Source organism: Homo sapiens, chromosome 11 (genome assembly GCF_000001405.40).
Source record: "Homo sapiens chromosome 11, GRCh38.p14 Primary Assembly".
Classification (NCBI taxonomy): Eukaryota; Metazoa; Chordata; class Mammalia; order Primates; family Hominidae; genus Homo; species Homo sapiens.
This window is the reverse complement of record NC_000011.10, coordinates 120,411,568-120,433,453: the sequence shown is the minus strand read 5'-3', so window position 1 is coordinate 120,433,453 and position 21,886 is coordinate 120,411,568. Positions and strand designations below refer to the sequence as shown.

General features: G+C 35.9%; 1 protein-coding gene across 19 annotated transcripts in view, besides 2 other annotated features; it reads right to left on the bottom strand.

The window, feature by feature from the left end:
* The window catches only part of ARHGEF12 (Rho guanine nucleotide exchange factor 12), a 153,525-nt gene that overhangs the window by 56,484 nt on the left and 75,155 nt on the right, over positions 1–21,886 (bottom strand). For 11 of the 19 annotated variants that reach the window (NM_015313.3, XM_006718805.4, NM_001198665.2 and 8 more), the window contains 7 exons: positions 12,603–12,701; positions 11,602–11,651; positions 9,039–9,096; positions 5,207–5,385; positions 3,937–4,014; positions 3,623–3,742; positions 1,543–1,683 (listed from right to left, as the gene is read on the bottom strand). In NM_015313.3, the coding sequence (NP_056128.1) occupies positions 1,543–1,683; positions 3,623–3,742; positions 3,937–4,014; positions 5,207–5,385; positions 9,039–9,096; positions 11,602–11,651; positions 12,603–12,701 (725 nt within the window). The remainder of the gene's footprint in view (positions 1–1,542; positions 1,684–3,622; positions 3,743–3,936; positions 4,015–5,206; positions 5,386–9,038; positions 9,097–11,601; positions 11,652–12,602; positions 12,702–21,886) is intronic. The other 8 variants (XM_047426659.1, XM_047426661.1, XM_017017420.2 and 5 more) reach the window with 1 other exon arrangement.
* Positions 16,031–16,175: an enhancer, noted in NCBI's record as "145 bp 11:120288060 sequence used in MPRA reporter constructs". NCBI's record gives its function as "activates a minimal TATA-containing promoter with rs11217861 allelic activity by MPRAs in C283T melanocytes and UACC903 melanoma cells {active_cell/tissue: C283T | UACC903}" and the evidence as "EXISTENCE:reporter gene assay evidence [ECO:0000049][PMID:36423637]".
* Position 16,103: a transcriptional cis regulatory region, noted in NCBI's record as "rs11217861 or 11:120288060 MPRA-significant variant associated with a GWAS melanoma risk locus at 11q23.3". NCBI's record gives its function as "allelic transcriptional activity by MPRAs in C283T melanocytes and UACC903 melanoma cells {active_cell/tissue: C283T | UACC903}" and the evidence as "EXISTENCE:reporter gene assay evidence [ECO:0000049][PMID:36423637]".

Sequence of the window (21,886 nt, the reverse complement as noted above, 5' to 3'; positions counted from 1 at the left end):
ACGCATTACTAAAACAAAAAGAAGAGTACGAAAAGCATTCCCAAAAGCGGTATGTACTGCTAGAACAAGTTGAAGCCCTTTATAACCTGGATTCATGATTTGGCTTCTAAGATAATCTCTAGCCATTCCATCTATAACCCTAATATGCCAGGTTGCCCTAAAATTCTCACTGCTCTCTCAAAATGTTACGCATTTTCAAACCTCAGTGCTTTTGTTTATATTTCGATTACTGGTATTTTGGAGCTAGGTGGAAGTAGATCACCTATTGCCTGAATAAGTTTGGAAAGTTAGTTAACTCCCTTTGGCCTCAATTTTTTCTTTTGTAAAGTTACAGTAACAACAGTACTACTTCATAAGGCTGTTTTGAGAATTAACTAAGGAACATAAAACCTTATCACCGTGTATGGGACATATACCCAACAAATATTAGTGACTACCATTTTTTCCTTGAGCCCAAATTGAAATTTTCCATTAAAACCTTTAGCTAACCCAATCACAAGACTCCTATCACTACCTTAAAAAACAAAACAAAACAAAACAAAAAACCCACAAATCCTCAGTTTGTTTTTTGCATGAGGAACTGGGTCATTGGGCCTAAGCCTCAAGAGATAGCCTGAATGATGGCTTAGACCACGGCTTCCTTTTTAAAAAACAACAAAACAAAACAATCCCCCAACAACAACCTTCAATAAGAGAGAAACTTCACATTGTTAAATAGTAGATGTGTGTATATGTAACAAAAGTCCCAAGAAGTGACACCTCTTCTATATGCAAAGCACTGTATTTCCTATTCTTTTTTTAAAAAAGAAATACAACCCACAAAATTGATTTCATGACCCACAATTACAAAACATTCGTTCAGACTTCTTCCCTCATCACTTTTAAAGAGGGTGATCTACATTTAAGTCATTATTCCTACCACTGCATACAATTTACAAAGTATTGCTGGGTAAGTAATACTGAACTTAGCTTTTAGGTATTCATATGTCTATGGTGTTACATCATATTCAGCTTAAAATGTTTTATTATCATCTTAACAGATAGTCATGTTCATCTGGCAGTTTCTGGGTTAATCAAGAAAGTGCTGTCACTAAACCTGGGCTATTAACTGAAGCCTATCTAACAGGACTGAGGTTTTTCCTCTTGGTAATGGCAAAGTGCCCCATGATTCAAGACTGAGTCACTCTGACCACAAATGGAATATTAACATGCTCTTAAAGATATCAACAGTTGGTCTCTCGGTTCAGTAAAAATGCACTGGCATTAGTAACTTCTCTACCCACGAACAAGATGCCTGCTGGGAAATTCCATCCCTGTAAAAGAAACAGTTGGCAATGGGTGTTCAAGGGAAAAAGTGAACTCTGGAATTAAAAGCTTATATATAACAGTAACCAGATTTCTGTTTATCAAATTGGTACATTAAAAATGGGGATGGTAAAAAGTGCTAAGACACCTCTAATTCACATCACTTAAAATCAAATCTAGAAAGGGGCTGTAAAGAAGAATACAGAAGAAAAAAGATTTAGAAAACTGAAAGCTTACATCTGCATTGTCACTACTGGGCCGAGAAGCATCTCCACTGCTACAGTCAGTCCTGCCCAGTACATCTCCAGGATCTGTTTCTGCCTCACTGACTGTTAGGGTGTCCCCTAAAGGTCTGGAGGGTGTAACTACAGCTCCATCCTAAAACAGATGAAAGAAAAACACGCGCACACAAACACATAAAAGAAAACTTTCATTACTTGCTGCATAAAGAAATAGTGGTACTACAATCTACATGGAGACTACTAAAAGTTGGACATTCTGATATGCTCAAGTATGTTTAAAATTCTACGAGTAAAATCCATAAATAACTACTAATTCCGGTATTCTAAAATGTCATGACCTTAAAGACAGGGCAAGTGATATTTTGGTAAAAAGAATGTAAGTTCAAACTTCTAAATATAGCAAAAAGATAAAATGGTTTGTTAATTTATGTAATTTATATTTATATAATTTATATTGTCTGCCCATTAATAAAGGTTATTACCCTATAGTTTCTTGTTAACTACCTTCCAATGCTTCAGAGTGTCAATCAATGGCCAATTCTAGGACATAATACTATAACATAAATTATTATAAGCATTTAGATCAGGTTATAAGCATTTATTTATTTATTTAATTTGAGATGGAGTCTTGCTCTGTCACCCAGGCTGGAGTGTAGTGGCAGGATCTCGGCTCACTGTAACCTCCGCCTCCATGGTTCAAGCCATTCTCCTGCCTCAGCCTCCCGAGTAGCTGGGATTACAGGCATGCACCACCAAGCTTGTCTAATTTTTTTATTTTTAGTAGAGTCGGAGTTTCACCATGTTGGCCAGGATGGTCTCAAACTCCCGACCTCAGATGATCTGCCCGCCTCGGCCTCCCAAAGTGCTGGGATTACAGGTGTGAGCCACTGCGCCTGGCCAGGTTATAAGCATTTAGATTGCTGTCCAAACAGGGTAAGAATATTATATTTGCCTAGTAATAACATAAAACTGTCAACATTACTGAGGTGTAACACTCAAAATGTGACATCGCTACTGGGACTGAAGGTAATGAAAAAAACAATGGAATGAAAAGTACACTAAACCAGGATGTCAGGGGACCTTACATACTGTATGGCCTTGTATAGGTGATTTAACCAGTTTAGACCCTAGGTTTCTCAATTATAACATAATTTTTTTAAATCAGAAAGTAAGCAGATTAGGCTAGATGATCTCAAAGAATTCTTTTGCGAATATGCAGCCTTCCCTTCAGATTTAACTCGGGAACAGTGACAAAAAAACAGCTTTTACCTATTTTAAATGTATAGGCAATTTATCTACTTTGCTTTAAGATGAAGTACAAGGTGCTTTACATATCCCAAATCTGAATATTACAGAATGTAAGTCTGGTTAACATATAAATGCTGAGCTTTTTTTTTCTTATGAGACCATTATCTCTATAGCTTATAACTATACAGCAAATTCTACTGAAATCTATTTTTAAATTACAATAAAAATATAGTCATTAAGAGTATGAATGTGCTTTTAAATCCTCAGACTGGGTTTGAATTCCAGTTCTATTACTTTGCAGCTATATGACCTCAGACAAGTCATTTAATCTCTCTAACTCTCTCTAAGTATATATGTAAACTGGAGGAAAACAACCATAAGTAACCTCAGAGATGTTATGCAGATTAAATAAGAAAATGCTTGTCCATATATTTAGCTCAATGCCTGTTGTTGTAAATTCTTAAATTCCTATTTAAAAACATATCAACTGCCATTCTGTTTTAAGATGGCAGAATGAACCACAAAAAATATAAATATATATATATATCTAAATACATTTTAGTAGTTTGTCACATCAAAGCAAAAGCACTCAATTCTTTTTTAAATTATTATGGAACAAAGAAATGTGATCTCATGAGCAAGCAAACAATCAGACGCCCACATTTATTTTTGTTAATCATTACTTCTGTAACATCCTTAACAGGACATCCTGTTGTCCTACGCTAGAAAAATAACTTTAAAAAAGGCAACTGCAACATTCTCTGACACATTCCCAGAAGAAAATTCTCCTGCAAAAAGTTGGGTAGCACTTGTAATAGTGATGCTACCTGAGCAGAGCCTGTGGCTTTGGATAACTGCTCTTGCAGCTGAGGAATGTGTTTCTTGGCCTCTTGGATCTCTTTTAGCAATCTTTGGGCAGGTGTTCGGTTGTAATCTTCCTGCAATAACTGAAAAGTTATAAAAATATTTTCAGAATTAATTACTTATGTAAAAAAGATACAGAAATAGTCCATTCTTAATCAATAATATAACTAATGGCATTGGTTACAATGCTGCTTGATTGTGACTGATAAACACCAACTCAACCATGCCCACTCACATTTTTATTGGCCTGTAAACAGCCCTACTTCTCATTTAATACCTGTAGCCGTTCCTGTTCTTTCTGTAACATTTTTCTCAGAATTTCTACTTTCTGGTTATGAACCACATTGTTTTCCTCCTAGAAAAGAAAAAGATAAAAAACAAACAACAACCAGTATAGACAAAATGAAGCTAAAATAAATAGAGAAAATGTGGCATACAAAGTTCTGCCTCGGCTCCAATTATCAATACCTATTAGGTTTTTACTTCCGGGTTATGTGGACAGGCTTTCAGACATGACACTTACAAGAAACTACAAGGAAATGTCTGCCCTTCTATTTCATTTTTACTAAACTGGATTCAAGAGAACACTAAATATTGATATTGGAGAAATGAAGTTGTCTTAGTATAAGAATAGTATCTTTTACTTTCCCTCATTTGGATCTTTACTATCGATCCCCATGCATAGCTCAAACTCCCAGTACCTCTTACCTGAAATATGAAGACAGCTCCCTAATTCATCACCCATCATCCCTCCTTGTTTCACAACCCTATAATATTTTACCAAATTAGTCTTCCTATAATCCTAGGATAATCATGTACTCTTTTGCTTAAAAAGAAACAACATTGAATGGATTCTTACTGCTTATCTAGTTACATGTAAATTAGCTTGGGAGATGTGACTTTTCAAAATATATAGTCAACCTACTATTTTCAAGTTCATCTCCCACTATGCACATCCTTAACAGGCACCAACCAACCAAAAATCCTAGCTACTTCTCCACAATATTTGATGCTTTTTTGGCTCCTTCTATTTATTGTTCTTCTTCTATGTGCTTTCTCCCTCCTTTGAATCCTCATAGAACTTAGCATTTTTTTTGCCCTCATAATGTCTACATTCTGCCTTGTATTATAGTTACTTGTATACTCTTGACTTAATCTCAATCAACAAAGCTTTGTTAAGCACCTTCTACATGCTAAGCAATATTTCAGGTACTGGAAACGTAACAGTAAACAAAATAAACAAAAATCCCCGCCCTCCTAAAAGTACACATTCTAAGATGACTATAATCTTGAACATAGAGTACCTTAACTATATTTCTGTGGGTGGCACACTGTTTTACATATGGCAGGTGTCTAATACTTGTTAAATTAAATCTGCTATGACAATATTCTAATCATTCCTATTATGTAATTTTTATATTAGTAAATCATTTTCTAAAATCTTAAATTTAATTAGTTCATCAGCCGAATACTTGAAAACTCTCCATATAAAGTAAACACATCCTTATAAGACTGAGCATTTAACTAAGAAATTTCCCCATTCTTACCCCCATGAGCACAGGACTAGTGATTCTCTCCATATTCCCAGATGCTCCAGGTGAATGAGGAGATGTCATGATGGGAGACATATGTCCAATGACTGACGGCTCTACTTCAGAGTCGGCAAGTGGAATCTGGGGCGACCCAGGTGGGCGTCCCTGAACAGTGAGAGCTACATAGGAACCAGCTTGGGGTGGGGAGACGGAAAAAGGGAAGGGAAGGGAAAATAACATTGTCAAGAAACTTTTTATACCATTTTACTACTTAATCTTCGATAGTTCTAAAAGATCCAGTTATGTAAGACAGTCCCATCATCTGCTACATCATGTCTCCACAGAAAAAAAAACTAATTTGTCATTTCTCTTTTATGACTGCCCTAAAAATCCAAAAGAATGATGCCGTTTTCAGATAGCAAGTTACTACTAGTAAGATCAGATATTACTTAAAAGCAAATAAAATTTATAACTCCAAGAATATATTATATATTTTCTTTATTTAGAGGAGTGTTAAAATCAACCATCTATTAGTGGCTATGTTTAATTAATTTCTTAAATGTAAATTTTTTAAATCTTCTTTTTTTTTTTTAATTAGGGTCTCACTTTGTCACCCAGGCTGGAGTGCCGCGGCACGATCTCAGCTCACTGCAGCCTCGACTTCCTGGGTTCAAGCAATCCTCCCTCCTCAGCCCCCACAAGTAGCTGCAATGTTTTTTTTTTTTAAAGATAGGGTTTCGCCATGTTGCCCAGGCTGGTCTTAAACTCCTGAGCTCAAGCGATCCACCCGCCTTGGCCTCCCAAGGTGCTAGGATTAGAGGTGTGAGACACAGCACCTGGCCTAGATCTTCATATTTTAAGATGACACTAACTAGGCAGGGTTTAGTGAATATGCTAGAACATAAAATGCAATTTTAAATTAACTTTACAAAATGAGTATGACCAAAAAATATTCCACAATAACAGGGAAAAACACAATCAATAATAAGTAGTAAATTTTAGTAGAAAATATTTGGAGGAATGGACAGGAATTCAGTAGACATATTGCGGGGGGCGGGAATCTAGACAGCAAAAATCACCATAATCAGGCCAGGCATGGTGGCTCATGCCTGTAATCTCAGCACTTTGGGAGGCTGAGGCAGGCAGATCACAAGTTCAGGAGATCAAGACCAGCCTTGCTAACATGGTGAAACCCAGTCTCTACTAAAAATACAAAAAATTAGCCGGGCGTGGTGGCACATGCCTGTAGTCTCAGCTACTAGGGAAGCTGAGGCAGGAGAATCACTTGAACCTGGGAGGCGGAGGTTGCAGTGAGCCGAGATTGCGCCACTGCACGCCAGCCTGGGTGACAGAACAAGAATTCGTCTCAAAAAACAAAAACAAAAACAAAAACAAAAAAAAACACCATAATCAGAGTCAGTAATAGATATGGCAAAACTTTTTTCTTAGATATTTCAATAGAACTTTTAAATGTATTTCACACTTGTCTCCCAATTTAACCCTCCCATGGAAATCATTATCAATTATTTCACAGTGTTTTGGTGTTCTAAAAACTAGTTTTGCTATGTATAATACTCACAAGTGTTATAATTTGGAGGAATTTTACATATAAACACTTTCTAAGGCTCTTCAATCTTATTGCTCTCTATCAGAAAGTCATCTATTATATCTCACTTGCCTATGTATTTGGTTTTAATAGCTTCCTAGCTTTTCCCTTCCTTTCTTTAGCTGTTTCTAAACTGCTCTGATTTGATATCACTTTTATTATATCCAGAATACACATTAGAAAGTAGGACATGCAGGAACTCTGTTACATACACCCAGGCTTTACAGATGTGATGTCAAATTTACATCAGTTTTGGATATGCAGAGGTTTTTATGCTTTACTTTAAGTTTTTAGCTATGCCCTTACTATTGGGTAAGTAATTTATTGCTAGAATCCCAGGATTTAATTTTTTAAGTAAAATTTATACTGGAATGAGCAAAAAATATAACCTAGAAAGCTAAAGAAATGTTTTTATACACCTCAATGGACATCAGGCATAAACTCATTAACATAAACCATATTTATGCAGCACATAACAATTTATAAATCACATTCTCATTAAATAAGTGGTCAAGTTTATTCAAGTATGGGGATCTAATTTTGATCACTGCACTCTTTTAAACTAAAGAACGCTGATCAAAGTGACCATTTGGAGCACTGGTACTCTGATGAAAAAGTTTAAAAAATTTCATAGTTGCTTAACATAGCAGTAAAAAGGCCAAGAAAAAAGTTAGTTTATTAAATTTCTTTTGAAGATGTCCATCCACCCAATACAGAGAAACAGAATTAAATAAAACAGTAGTGATTCTGATTGATCACAAACAACTATCTCTTATTTCTAGTCTACTTTACTGTGGAATAATCTGATGCAGAAGATCATAAATTCTTTTTTTAATTCCTTTTTTAAAAAAATTTCATTCAGTTCAAGCAGTCTCTCTCTTTTTTTTTTTTTTTTTAAGAGATACAATAACAAATACATACGGCCCAAACCAGGCCAGAACAAAGAAAAAGGAAGTTATATTTTAGGTGGTGGACTCTCATGTGACTTTCTTTACTTCTGTTATAACTGTCATGCTATTTTCCATTCAGTATGTGAAGCAATTAGAAAATATAAAATCTTGGCCAGGTATAGTGGCTCGTGCCTGTAATCCCAGCGCTTTAGGAGGCTGAGATGGGTGAGCCCAGGAGTTTGACAGCAGCCTGGGGAACACAGCAAAACCCTGTCTCTACCAAAAAAACAAGACAAAACAAAAAACAAAAAACAAGGTGGGAGGATCACTTGAACCCAGAAGTTGGAGGCTGTAGTGAGCTATAATTGCACCATTGCATTCTACAAGACCCTACCCTAAAAACAAACAAACAAAAAAAAAAAAAAAACCAAGAAAACATAAAATCTCTCTTGGAAAGCAGGTAAGGTTAAAGGATAACAACAAAATGAAACCAAAGCCCAGGTTGGGGAAGATTCCACCTGACTCAGATTCAGATGACCCACCCCATCACCACCTGCTAGCAAAGCTCACAGGGCCACTGAACCTTCCCTTCTCCCTGTGCAGATGGGAAAACTGAGGCCCTGTGAGTGGCTGAGGCCTGGCTTGCCCATAACTCACTGCCAGCTCGAGGTTCGTGAATCCACCTTTGACCCTGCAAGTGACGGGAGGTTAGCTGCAGACTCCCACTGCTTCAAGCCTGTTTCTCCACAGAGAACTAAGTCCAAGTGGGCTATTCACTCAAACCTGAAGATCACAAATTCTTAACCCTAAAGATTTCCAAGAGAAGATCGCTACTCTGGATTATATAATCATTTACTTATCTGAGGGAAAGTGATTGTGCTAGATGATTTTTAAAGTTCCATTTCAGTTCATCAGGCCATATGTCTGACTTCTCAACCTCCTTCCTCTCAGGTGACTCATGCATTTCTTTCAAATATATGTATCAAATATTACCAAGAATGACAGGAATATTATAATCAACCATATAAATGGAGTTGACAAAAGATAGCTATTAGTAAGCTAAGAGTTTTCACCTCAGATTTTCCTTCAATGCAGGGATCAGCAAACTCCAGCCAAGGGGCTAAACCAGGATCACAGACTTTTGGCAAATAAAGTTTTACTGAAGCTCAGCCACACCCATTCATTTACATATAGTCTATGGCTGCTTTCATGATACAATGACAGAGTCGGCAGTAGACTATATAGTCCACATAGCCTAAATATTTACTATTTGGCCTATTACAGGAAATTTGCTGCTCCTTACTTTAAGGGTTTCAGAAAACAATTAAAACTAAGAATAACATTCACCTACATTTGATTAGCTTCACCACCTCCAGATGATTTGAATGAGTCACCAGAGTTCCATTCACCTGTAAGAAAACGAAAGTAGTGTATGTCAGATACATTCTATTGAGACAATGGATAAAATGACTTCAAGAATTATCATACATAATATAACCAATATAATATAGTAATCACATTACATTAAAATATTTATGTATTTGATTCAATATTCATTTTCACACCATGATTCTACAGGGCATATTCAGCAACAAAATGAACTTAAACATAAACCGAGGCCTTGACATACAAAACAGTACAACTTATTCACCATGACAAATGACAAAACATAACATGAAACAGATTTACAAATCGTTCACGGTGAAGGGCTCATACAAATAGAAAAGATCTCTTTGCTTTTAATTACCAAGTCATCAATTTGTCAAAATTAATAATAAAAAATAATTTTTAAAATAAGTATTTCCACAATATTCAATTTGCTTTTAGTTTTTCAACCATGATCTAATCTTCACAAAGAAAATTAATTTTCAGACCGGCTAAATGTAGAAAATGTTATCCCGATTCTGAATTAAACCAAACAAATCAAGGCAAAACTATCAAATGTGGATTTAACATTAATTTTCTGATTAATTCTCTGATCCAAGTTATCTAAAATACAAATATATCAGTGTAAAAAACAGAAGTACAAGTATACTCATCCTGCCCCATGAGGCAGTTACTGTTAGCTATGACATTTAATTTTGGAGACACTTTTCTAGTATACACACACCAAAGAGACACATAAACATTATACATTACGACTGGCTTTTTCCTGGAAAAAAAAAATAAAACTTTTTTTTCACTGTACGGCAGCTATCTTTCAATAAAGATACACACTGACCTAATCCATTCTTTTCAAAAGCTGCAAATGGAATATAATTTATTTCTCTGTCCCTCAGTTTATGCACAGTTATGTAATAAAGCCAGTACAAATTTCCCTGTACACACGACTTCACATTTGTACACTTATTTCCTCAGATAAGTTCCTAAAAGCAAAATTGCTTGTCACATGTTATATACTTTCTTAAAGGCTTTTGATACATATTCACAGACTTTCATCCAAACAGGTTTTACCTAATTTATACTCACAACGAACTCATGAGAATAGTCATTTTACCATACCCAAACTATACTAAATGTGTATTACCAATCTTTAAATTTTCTGACAGCCAAATGTATTTTTCACCTATCATTTTAATTTCTTCTTCTTTGTTATCAGTGAGGTTGGCCATATCCTCATTAATATGTTATGTATTTCAGTTACTTTAGGGAACTGCCTGATAAAATTCTTTGCCCATTTTTCTTTTAGAATATTTATTCCTTTCTTATAATTTAAAAGTGTTCTTTAAATTTAAGGATATCTGGTCTGTGATACGTTTCAGATATTTCTTCCAAATTATTTTTCATGGTATGTTTTCTTATGTAATAATTTGATTTTAAGTAATCAAATTAGTCAATTATTTAAAGAATAGTTACTAACTAACCCATTCTTTCTCTACTGATCTGAATTCAAAATCTATTTCTAGTCTCTCTGTTGTGTTCCACTGGTAGGTCTATATCTAGATTAGAGTCATATACATCTCTTCTCATACATACACATACATATAACATGTTTTTATCTTTAGTGATTCTTATATCTTTATAAAGTTCATCTGGAAGAATAATCAGATAGACATCTACCACTACAATTCTATTTGCATACAGGTCAGGTATCGCTTATCTGAAATACCTGGTACCAGAAGAAGTGTTTTGGATTTTTTTGAAGTTTGGAATATTTGTATATACATAATGATACATCTTGGGGATCAGACCCAGGTTTAAATATGAGCCTTTTATGTTTCATATATACCTTATACACATAGCCTGAAGGTAGTTTTATACATTTTAAATACTTTTGTGCATGGAACCAAGTTTTTTGTTTTGGTTTGGTTTTATTTGTTTTGTAAAGACAGGGTCTCACTATATTGCCCAGGTTGAAGTGCTGTGGCTATTCTCAGGTATGATCAAAGTGCACTGCAGTCTCAGCTCCTGCACTCAAGCAATCCTCCCACCTCAGCCTCCTGAGTAGCTGGTAATACAGGCTCAAGCTACTGTACCTGGTGAAACCAACTTTTGACTGTGACCCATCACATGAGGTCAGGTGTGAAATTTTCCATTCATGGTGTCATGTTGGTACTCAAAAACTTGCAGAGTTGGGAGCATTTCAGGTGTCAGATTAGAAATGTTCAACTTGTACTTTGATGAGAATTGCTTAATAACAGACTAATCTAGACAGAAATGATCTTTCCAACCCTGAATTACTCTCCTACTCAAGAACATATATTCCTCCATTATTTTCAATCCTTTTATTACGTCCTTCAGTAAAGGGTAGTATTAATTTTAAAACAAATGAAATAAGTTTGTATAGTCAACAGATCTATCATACATAGAAGTATGATGCTTTTTATAAAAATCCAAGTGAAAAAAATCAGAATATGACCAATATATGTTGTTTTTTAATCCTACCGTAAATTCTATAATAGCCTATTCCTTACCTTGATGATTCGATCACCTGTCTGTACTCCAGCCCGCATGGCTGCTCCATCTGTATGAGAAATTAATTGCTTAAAATGTGATTCATTTGCATTTACTGATCATCTTCCTGACAGAGAGACAGTATAACAAACTGGTTAAAAACATGGGCTGTCCTTTGGGAGGCCGAGGCGGGCGGATCACGAGGTCAAGAGATCGAGACCATCCTGGCCAACATGGTAAAACCCCGTCTCTACTAAAAATACAAAAATTCACTGGGTGTGGTGGCACGTGCCTGTAGTCCCAGCTGCTCGGCAGGCTGAGGCAGGAGAGTCGCTTTAACCCAGGAGGCAGAGGTTGCAGTGAGCCTAGATTGTGCCACTGCACTCCAGTCTGGTGACAGAGGGAGACTCCATCTCCAAAAAAAAAAAAACAAAAAAAAAAAACAAGGCTGTAAAGTCAGACTTTACATTCAAATGCTGCTTCTGCCACTCACTAGTTGTGTGACCTTGGACTGATTTGATGTTTCTTTACTCTAAGCCTCAATATCACCTATAAAATGGGGATAAAAAAATTGTCTACCTCAAAATTATAGCACCCAACATAAAGGAAGTATTCAATATATGGTAACAGCAGTAGAAAATATTATCACTGTTGTTTTGGGAAAATAAATGGTATTTCTGAAGCCATAGCTATCTCTTTAATCTGTCTTTGCCAAAATATCAGTGGTGCCATGGAAAACTGAAATTTCAGAAACTTTTGTGTGGACAATAAAGTATCATGACCAAGGAGTCACATGATTTCTAAAACTAAATAAAAACTGATTTCTTTCTAACAAGTACAAAAAAAAATCAACTGGAGTAAACTCCTTCCTGTAACTATGACATGATAGACGAATCTAGCACAATAGTCCACATGACCTGCAATCTATGTAATTATTCTATTCTTGGCAATTGCCATTATTTAAGCTTTTCTATTCTTACTCTGTTTACTGAGTGATAAATTGTTTTTTAAAATGCCTTGCCTTCTTTGACAGACTGTACGAAGACTGGATTGTCTCCACTGACCGTCAGCCCAAATCCATTGTCATCTTTCTGGATGATTACGCAACGCTGAACAAGACCTGCACAAGAACCACAGTGTAAAACAAGAAGGAAGAGAAAACAGAGAAAGGAAAAGACAATAATTATATATTAGTAATAAACTGTGTTCCATCTGGAGAAACAAAAAGTAGCACATGTAAATCCACATGGTAAAATAAGAACACTAACCACCATCAACAAAGCAAACACAAGAACACCACAGAGTCACACATACTGTTTTCTCACTGGCGGAGTATAATAGAATTGCTCCAATATTAAAAACAGCTATGGCAAACTGCAAAATATTAAGTATTAGACATGAGACAGCTAGAAGGAAAGCCCATTCACATCCATGCTATTTCTCTGTAGTAAAAAAATTCTCCCCCTGCCCCACTGCCCTGAGTTTTTGGTACCCTAATTGGTGTTTAACCCAAGAAAAATCAACCATCTTAGGACATGGGGCTAGGAGCATCTCAAGGAAAATTCTGCAGAAATCCAGTCTCACTCTCAAGAAAATATACTCAGGAAAACAGTAAAAAGAAAGGAGGTGCTTACAGAGTACCTGAAGTTATTCCCCAAAGAAGGGAAGAGAAAGGAAGAGTTCAGGGGGAAGAAAAACCCTGGCTTATAGAAAACAGAAACAGAAAAGAGAAAAAAATAGAAAAGATAAAGAATCTGTGAGCTCAACCAGTTCCTTCATCTCTTTCATATACTTACCTGATTCCTAAGGGAGAATTTGTGTTTCTTCTAAACAGCAAATGAAAACTGTCAGGGCAAGGTGAGAGAAAGAGGGCCCCAGCCAGAGGAATAGAAATGTCCTGCCAGGGTAGAACCCTGATTAGTACCCAGGGCTGTTTTATCATAGACCAGATCTGAAGATCTTGAACTCTGTGTTAGCCAGAGACAACATATATTTTCAGCTTTGCAGGATCTAAGCATTTCACCGAAGTCAATATATAAAACAGGTAAAACAACACAAAGATAATGAATAGAAAATAAAAACTTTTTCTAAAGATTTTTATACAAAAAGCCACAATCTTTTAAATATAAGTCTGATTTACCAACCAAACGATATGCTAAAGATATGTTAATAAAAAATATATATAGACTGTGTGTACAATGGCTCATAGAAAACATATACATATAACAAATTATATATATATACACACAGTGTATATACATATCTATTTTTGCTGATAATGACACATCATGAGTACATGAGCCTACTGTAGCTTAACATGAACCTTAACCCTTGAACTCATGACCTACACAAAAATTAAAGCAGATCATGGGCCTAAACATAAGCTAAAATTTTTCATAAGATAACACAAAAGGAAATCGTCAAGACCTTAGGGTATTAAAAAAACAAAAAAGGAAGAAAGAAAGAAAAAGAAAACAGATAAAATACATGTAACAAAATATTTTATAACATTAAAAAAAGACCTTAGGGTGGGTTTATAAACCATAAAAGAAAAAAAACCTAGGAAACTGGACAAAAATTTAAAACATTTGCTATTCTAAAGACACTGGTAAGAAAATGAAAAGGCAGGCCGGGCCTGTAATCGCAGCACTTTGGGAGGCCGAGAAGGGCGGATCATGAGGTCAGGAGATCGAGACCATCCTGGCTAACACAGTGAAACCCTGTCTCTACTAAAAATACAAAAAAATTAGCCGAACGTGGTGGCGGGTGCCTGTAGTCCCAGCTACTCGGGAGGCTGAGGCAGAAGAATGGCGTGAACCTGGGAGGCGGGTCCAACCTGGGAGGCGGGTCCAGCCTGGGCGACAGAGCGAGACTCTGTCACAAAAAAAAAGAAAGAAAAAGAAAAAGAAAATGAAAAGGCAAACCACAGAGAAAATATTCACAATATGGATATCTGATAAAGAATTTGTATCCAGATTATATGCAACTCTCCAGCCAATAATGGAAGACAAATGTTAAAGGGGGCAAAATACTTAAATAAACACATTACAAAGATAGACCAATGGCCAATAAGCACATGTAAAGGTGCTTAACAGCTGCAGTCGTCAGGAAAATACAAATTAAAACCACAATGAGATACCACTATACACCAACTAGTCTGGCTAATCATAAACAGTGGTAGCAAAGAGGTGGAGCAACTAGAACTCTTAGAACATTATAACATTGCTGGTGGGAATGTGCTAACATTCTGGAAAACTGTTTGGAAATTTCTTATAAAGGTAAGCATATATTTGCATATGATCCATTAATTTTACTCTGAAGAGAAAGAACAATTTGTGTCCACAGAAAGACATACACAAATGTTCACAGCAGTTTTATTCATAAGAGCCCAAAACTAGAAACTCAAATGTCTATCAACGGATGAATGGATAAACAAACTGTCGTATGTCCATACAATGTATTAGGAAGGAAGAAAAGGACTACTCATACAACAAACATGGATGAAACATAAAAACATCATGGTAAGCAAAAGAAACCAGTATGTAAGAAAGTAAACACTACATGACTCCAACATAGAAAAGGAAAAACTAAACTAAAACAACAAAAAGCAGAATAGCAACTGCCTAGGGGAGAAGCACGGAAGAGGAGTGGGAATGACTGCAAAATGAAATGAAGGAACTTTCTGCAGTGATGGAAATGTTCTGTTTCTTAAGATAATGTTTACATGAGTATGCATAGTCATTTGTCAAAATTTTCTAACCATACACTTACAATTAGTGCATCTTATTTTATGTAAATTTTACCTCAATAAAGTTGATTTTCAACATTTAAAAATGTGTTACCCCTAAATTCTAGAGACTTCTAAATACTAAATAACATATTCACCACTCTCACAAAACAATAAATTGTAATGAGGTCAGGTGATAACACATTAGAATTCAACCTTTGTTATCTGTTCAGTGTTACTTCCTTCAAGTAATTAGGACACCTATAAAATAGGATATGAATATATAAATCAAGTTTAAAAAAAGCATTCTTTATAAATTCTAGCATATAATAAATAGAATCAGAGATTCTGGCCAGGCATGGTGGCTCATGCCTGTAATCTCAGCACTTTGGTAGGCTGAGACAGGTGGATCACCTGAATGAAGTCAGGAGTGAGACCAGCCTGACCAACATGATAAAACAAAATCAGCCTGGCATGGTGGTAGGTACCTGTAATCTCAGCTACTTGGGAGGCTGAGGCAGGAGAACTGCTTGAATCTGGGAGCTGGAGGTTGCAGTGAGCCGAGACTGCACCACTGCACTCCAGCCTAGCCTGGGTGACAGAGTGAGAGACTCCATCTCAAAAAAAAAAAAAAAAAAAATTATTAGACTAAGCAGCATTTTACAGGAACCTTTTAAAATCCATGCTTGCTTTTGGAAACAAATATTTCACAACCTCCCTTATAGTTATTTGAAATTTCAAAATAAATTAGATACTGTGACTTTAGAAATCAAGGCAATTATAACACTGAATACGTTTTTTCATACTATATTCGTGCTTCTCCATTCTCCCACCTCACCTCACAAAAGCTGAAAATTAATGAATTAAAGGTTTCTAATATGGGTGACTGCAGTGCTAAGCAACCTGGGCTTCTTAAATAGACCTTTTTTCAGATGCCTGCAGAGAACAGGACACCTGTAAAACATGAGGGAAACGGGTATTTGGAGTCAAGGAGTTTGCTATGTTTGCACCTCTCACTTGAATAAAAAAATATATAAAGTAGTTAGCTTAATGTCTAACAAATATTAAGGGTTCCTACACGTTAAATATTATTTTATTATGATTAAGGGGAGGTTGACCTTGGATTTTCTCCTCTATCCATGCTACTAGTACAATTGTAAGTACTTTTATGTTAATAAACTCCTATCAATTAATGCAAATGATCCTTAAGAGAATCAATTCTGGCTGGGCGCATTTGGAAGGCTGAGATGGGCGGATCACGAAGTCAAGAGATTGAGACCATCCTGGCCAACATGGTGAAACCCTGTCCCTACTAAAAATACAAAAACTAGCTGTGCGTGGTGGCGCGTGCCTGTAGTCCCAGGCTACTCAGGAGGCTGAGGCAGGAGAATCGCTTGAACCCAGGAGGCAGAGGATGCAGTGAGCCGAGATCGCGCCACTGCACTCCAGCCTGGCAACAAAGACTCCATCTCAAAAAAAAAAGAGGATCAATTATGATTTATGTCTAAGTTTTGTTTTTTAGCAAACAAGGAAAGTAGTTTTGGATGGGTAAGGAAGACAGAAGGGAAATTTAAAAGGGCAGAGCTTCTTGTTATAGGCAGCTTTAGAAGATGAGAGACAGCTGGACGTCCTTAAGAAAAGAATCAGTCTTCTTACAAGCTTTTCCTAAATATGCATACTGAAGTTAGGTGCCCCTCTTACAGACTCCCACTGCACCCTCTGTGTACTCCTACTGTATCACCCTTACTCACACTGATTTGTATTTGTTTTTATTCTTTCATTGGATTTTATGCTCCAAAGGTGCAGGGGCTGTATCTTCATCACAATCTTATCTCAGAACCTTGCATGTATTCTGGGACAGAAGGAAACTTAAAAAAATTGCTTATGAATTAATGAAATTCAGACAAGTAGACAAGTCTAGAGATGAAAGGAAGCTCAGAAAGGGAGGTCATCGGAGAGAAAAAAACAGCACCATGCACAGTCAATTTTATAAATATGCCTAGAATCCTAACAGATTAATAAGAATCAAGAAAACCTATTAGTATTACTTCAGAATACAGCAAATCTCTTATCTCCAATTCATAACAGTCTCAGTCTGATAACCTTCCCTCTTAATTCTACAGCAAAAGGAGATGAGGGACAAAGAATAAAGAGGAAAAGGAAAAAGAACTATGCACACATCCTATTCAATTTTTTCTTCTCCCCAAATCCACTGTATTAGCCACATTTATTATTTTATATTTACCTGCTAATGTGAGATTGATGTACTTTAACATGTACTTTAAATCAGTAGACCAATATAAAAAGTGTTACACATACAGTCAATTCAGAATCTATAAAATTCAAATTAACAATACTATTCTGTCCTGTCTATCTGTGGTGTCTGCATAAATTTAGATCTGTGGTAATAATTAACTGAAAACGAAGCCATCCTACCATTCAAAATTCAGAAATCCAGTCCTTCAAATGCTCAAATCTATTATGTTCCCTCTCATTCAAAATCAAATGAAATGTTTTCCCTTTTTCTTCAGAGAAATATTCTATTTGTTGACCAGAAGCTGTTTTAACCTACCACAGAGGGAAAAATTCCACCCTCTGTAGAACTAAAATCACCAATACTGGCTACATTATCATATCTTTGTACTATCCTTTTTGACATACACACACAAAAATCCTACTTCTTTTGTTTGTTTTAGCAAATTTGCATTGAGCATCTGTCCATACTAGTTATTTAACACTGCAGTTCATAGGTGCTGTGAAGAACCCAAGACTACTTGGAGTTTCTGTTCTCAAAGAACATAAAATCCTGGCAGGACAATACTGAAAACAAATGGAGAAAAAAATGACAATGTTTAAGAATCAGAAAATGGTACAGAAAATAGGCCCTGTATGTTACAGAGAAAGCCAAAGATAAAAGTAGACTCATAACTCCAAAATAGCAATCTTCAAATTTCATTAATTAAAAAAAAACCCAAAAACCAGCTTTCATCACTTTTACTTTTTCTGATTTCTACAACTCATATAGTCCATGGTTTTGTTTTGTTGCTAAATCCTTTATCATCTGGTATAAAGATTATTAATCATAACTTCCATACAAATGTATCTATCTGTGAATATGAGTTCTGTAAGGCCACCTAATTACTTTGATATGTGCTATATGCCAGCACTTTGCATAGACACAGGCAGAGTGTTCAAAAAGTAAAACCAGTGAGACTGGTATAAAAAGTTAAACTTCCTTCAAACGTAATCCTGACAGGCAGGCACCGTGGATCACACCTGTAATCCCAACGTTTTGGGAGGCCAAGGCAAGAGGACTGGTTGAGGCCAGGAGTTTGAGCACAGCCTGGGCAACTTAGCAAGACCTCTTCTCTACAAAAAATAACAGTAATAATAAACACGTTTTTCAAAAAAACAAAAGACTTAGTCCTAGTAATACTTCTTCCGTCCCATTGTTCTTGGTGCCATATGAGTATTTCTTCACAGCTGTTTTTTTAAGTGCATATAGAGTAATGGTAAATGAGTGCATATCTCTATCACTGCACTTATCAAAATGTATTGCAATTCTTTTGTACCAGACTGTGAACAACCAGAAAGTAGGTAGAGTCACTTATATCTTTGTATCTCTATGCCTTAGTATAGTGCCTGGCATGTAATGGGTGCTCACTAAATAGTTATTAAATAAATTTGAATTTTATACACAAAGGAAATTTTAAATAAAATACTCAAACATTTTCTAATTAGAAAAAAAATCACAGCCTTGAAGACTATGCAAAGTAGAGGAACATTTCTATAAGAACGCTAATTAACCTTCTGCCCTGGCAAAATTCCAACTATAATAATTTGATTTTTCCATCTACCCCAAAATAACTCCTCTAGTTACAAAACAAACTTTATTTCCTGTCTCTTAAAAATCATATTTTGCCTAGAAGCTGATAAACCTGATATCATGCTTCATCTCATCAGTGAAGTAAAGATGTTATATCAAATTTACATAAATACTATCCATTTCTTTTATTTCCTTATCATAACAAAAGACATATTTTTTCTGTTATTACAATGTGGCACTTAAAACCAACATAAAAAGACTGCTTCCTTCTTACTCAATAGATAATTACCAATGATCATATTTTGAAAGTGAAAAAAAAATGAAGTGTCATTCTATAACTGTTCCTGAAAGAAGGCCATAACTCCTATAATGAAAATAGGGTGTGGGGCATATTAATGAAAATGGAGTGTTAAACATGTAAGATAACCTGTTAAATCTTCCATATTACATTGACTTTAGTGAAAGCACATTAGTCTTTCTTCACCTTTTATTTTATTTCATGACCAAACTTCTCTAGGTTTCAGCTCTTAAGAATCAGCTTCAGGGAAGGGAGTGGAGAAGGGCCATGTGCAACCTCATAAAAACAGCTCATTTTAAACTGGTGCCAGACATACATGTTTTATGAGTAAGACCTCAGATAATCCTTTGATTAAGAAGCTTCTTGATTCTAAATGCACAGTCTTGCCAGCAAGAAGAGCCTTAAATTCCAAGTATGCTGATTTCATTCTTTCAGACCACTACCAGAAAAATGTCTCCAAGTTACATTTTCTTCTATCTTCAAGTTTTTCAGAAGGAAAGAAAGATTCAATTAGGATGAGTGAAGATCTTATTCCATCAATTTTCTCTACTAAAATACTTCCTATGTCAATCTCAACAATCATTCATTCAAAACTCACTTAATGAGTGTCTCCAATATGTTCAGCATTATGGGAGATGTAAAGATAAACATAAATATAAGTAATTAAATACAAAACAGATGTCAACATTCAGAAACAACAAAAGTAGCTGGGCAATCCTAGGAAAAGGCAGTACTTGAATTAAGCCTTGAAAGATGAGTAGGATTCTAAGTTATAGGTGGTAATTCACTCAAGACAACAGAAATGGCATGTGCAAAGGAAGAATGCCAAAACATGTTTTGGAAAATGAAACGCTGAAGGAGAATCAGAGTAGAATAAATTGGAAACAAATTGTGGCATTATCTTAATAACTACCTGTACTTTCTTAGCAAGTGAATGACCAAATTCTTACTTTAGTAATATTAATCTGACAAGTCAAGGCAGAATATAGAATGGAGAAAAGTTAATGAATCAATGTGAAACTGAAATAAAAGTAAGTTACGAATCTATTATAATAGTCTAATAAAATGATGGACAAGGCAGTGGGGTTGAAACCAAAGAGTGAAGGATGAAAAATATTGTGATGGTAGAATCAAGGGGACCTGGCAAATAGCTGACCACAGGGGACGACGGAAAATGGAGAAGTCAAATATAACTTTAAGGAAATATAAGACTAGGTGAGTGGAAAAATGACAGTGTCATTATAAGAATTAGGGAAATAAAGAGGAAGACTGATTTCCAGCTGTAGAGAACAATGATGAACTCCAGTTTGGTCACTCTGAATTTATGGGACACTTAGACTGGAGACTGGAAGAAAGATTGGGGACAGAAACTTGGGTCATGCCTACATGTATAAAACAGGAGGGAAAAAACAATCAAATAAAGAGAGACAAAATAATTACAAAGAATAAAGAACCAGGTTGATGTAATATCATAGAAACTAAAGAAAGGGCATTGGCAAACACGGAGGAAAGGCCATGTGAGACAAACAGCAAGAAGGCAGCCATCTGCAAGCCAGCAAGGGAATCTTCTGACCTGATCACACTGACATCCTGATCTTGATCTTCTAACCTCCAGAACTGTGAGAAAATAAGTTTCTATTGCTTAAACCAAGCAGTCTATGGTATTTTGTTACAGTGGCCTGAACACACTAAGACAGCTTTAAAAAGACATAACTTATTTTCTTGAACCAAATACTGTTAGCAGGAATCTGTTCAGACACCATGACAGCGGTTAAGCAGCAGCTATGGTCTAACTCAGAATTCCCTTGCTGAATCTCTCATTTCCTACAGTAACCCACAAAAGTATTAATAAAATTAAGTATTATTAAAATTGTAGATCAGAAAACGCATCCATACACGTTTAATAGACTCTAACAGGTAGAAAGGGACAAATAAGGGGAAATGGAATAAATAACCAACTGACCGCACTGGGCAGAAATGTAACAAAAAAAGTCAATACAAAGCAAACACTTGGTTTCCTTTTAAGATGCACAAAGTAAATCTAGTTCACAAAGTAGCTCTAAAAATGGCTAAGAAGCCAGGTGCGGTGGCTTATGCCTTTAATCCCAGCATTTTGGGAGGACTGCTTGAGCTCAGGAGACAGAGATCAGCCTGGGCAACATGGCGAGACTTTGTCTCTACTATTTCTTTCTTTTTTTTTTTTCCCCTGGCAAATCATTCCTTCAACAACCTCATCTCTATTAAAAAAACAAACAAACAAACAAAACAGCTGGGTGCAGTGGTGTGCACCTGTAGTCCCAGCTACTTTGGAGTCTTAGGTAGGAGGATCACTTGAGCCCAGGAGGTTGAGGCTGCAGTGAGTCATGATCCCGCCATTATACTCCATCCTGGGCCACACAGCGAGATCTTGTCTCAAAAAAAAAAAAAAAAAAAAAAAAAAGCCAAGAAAGTTTA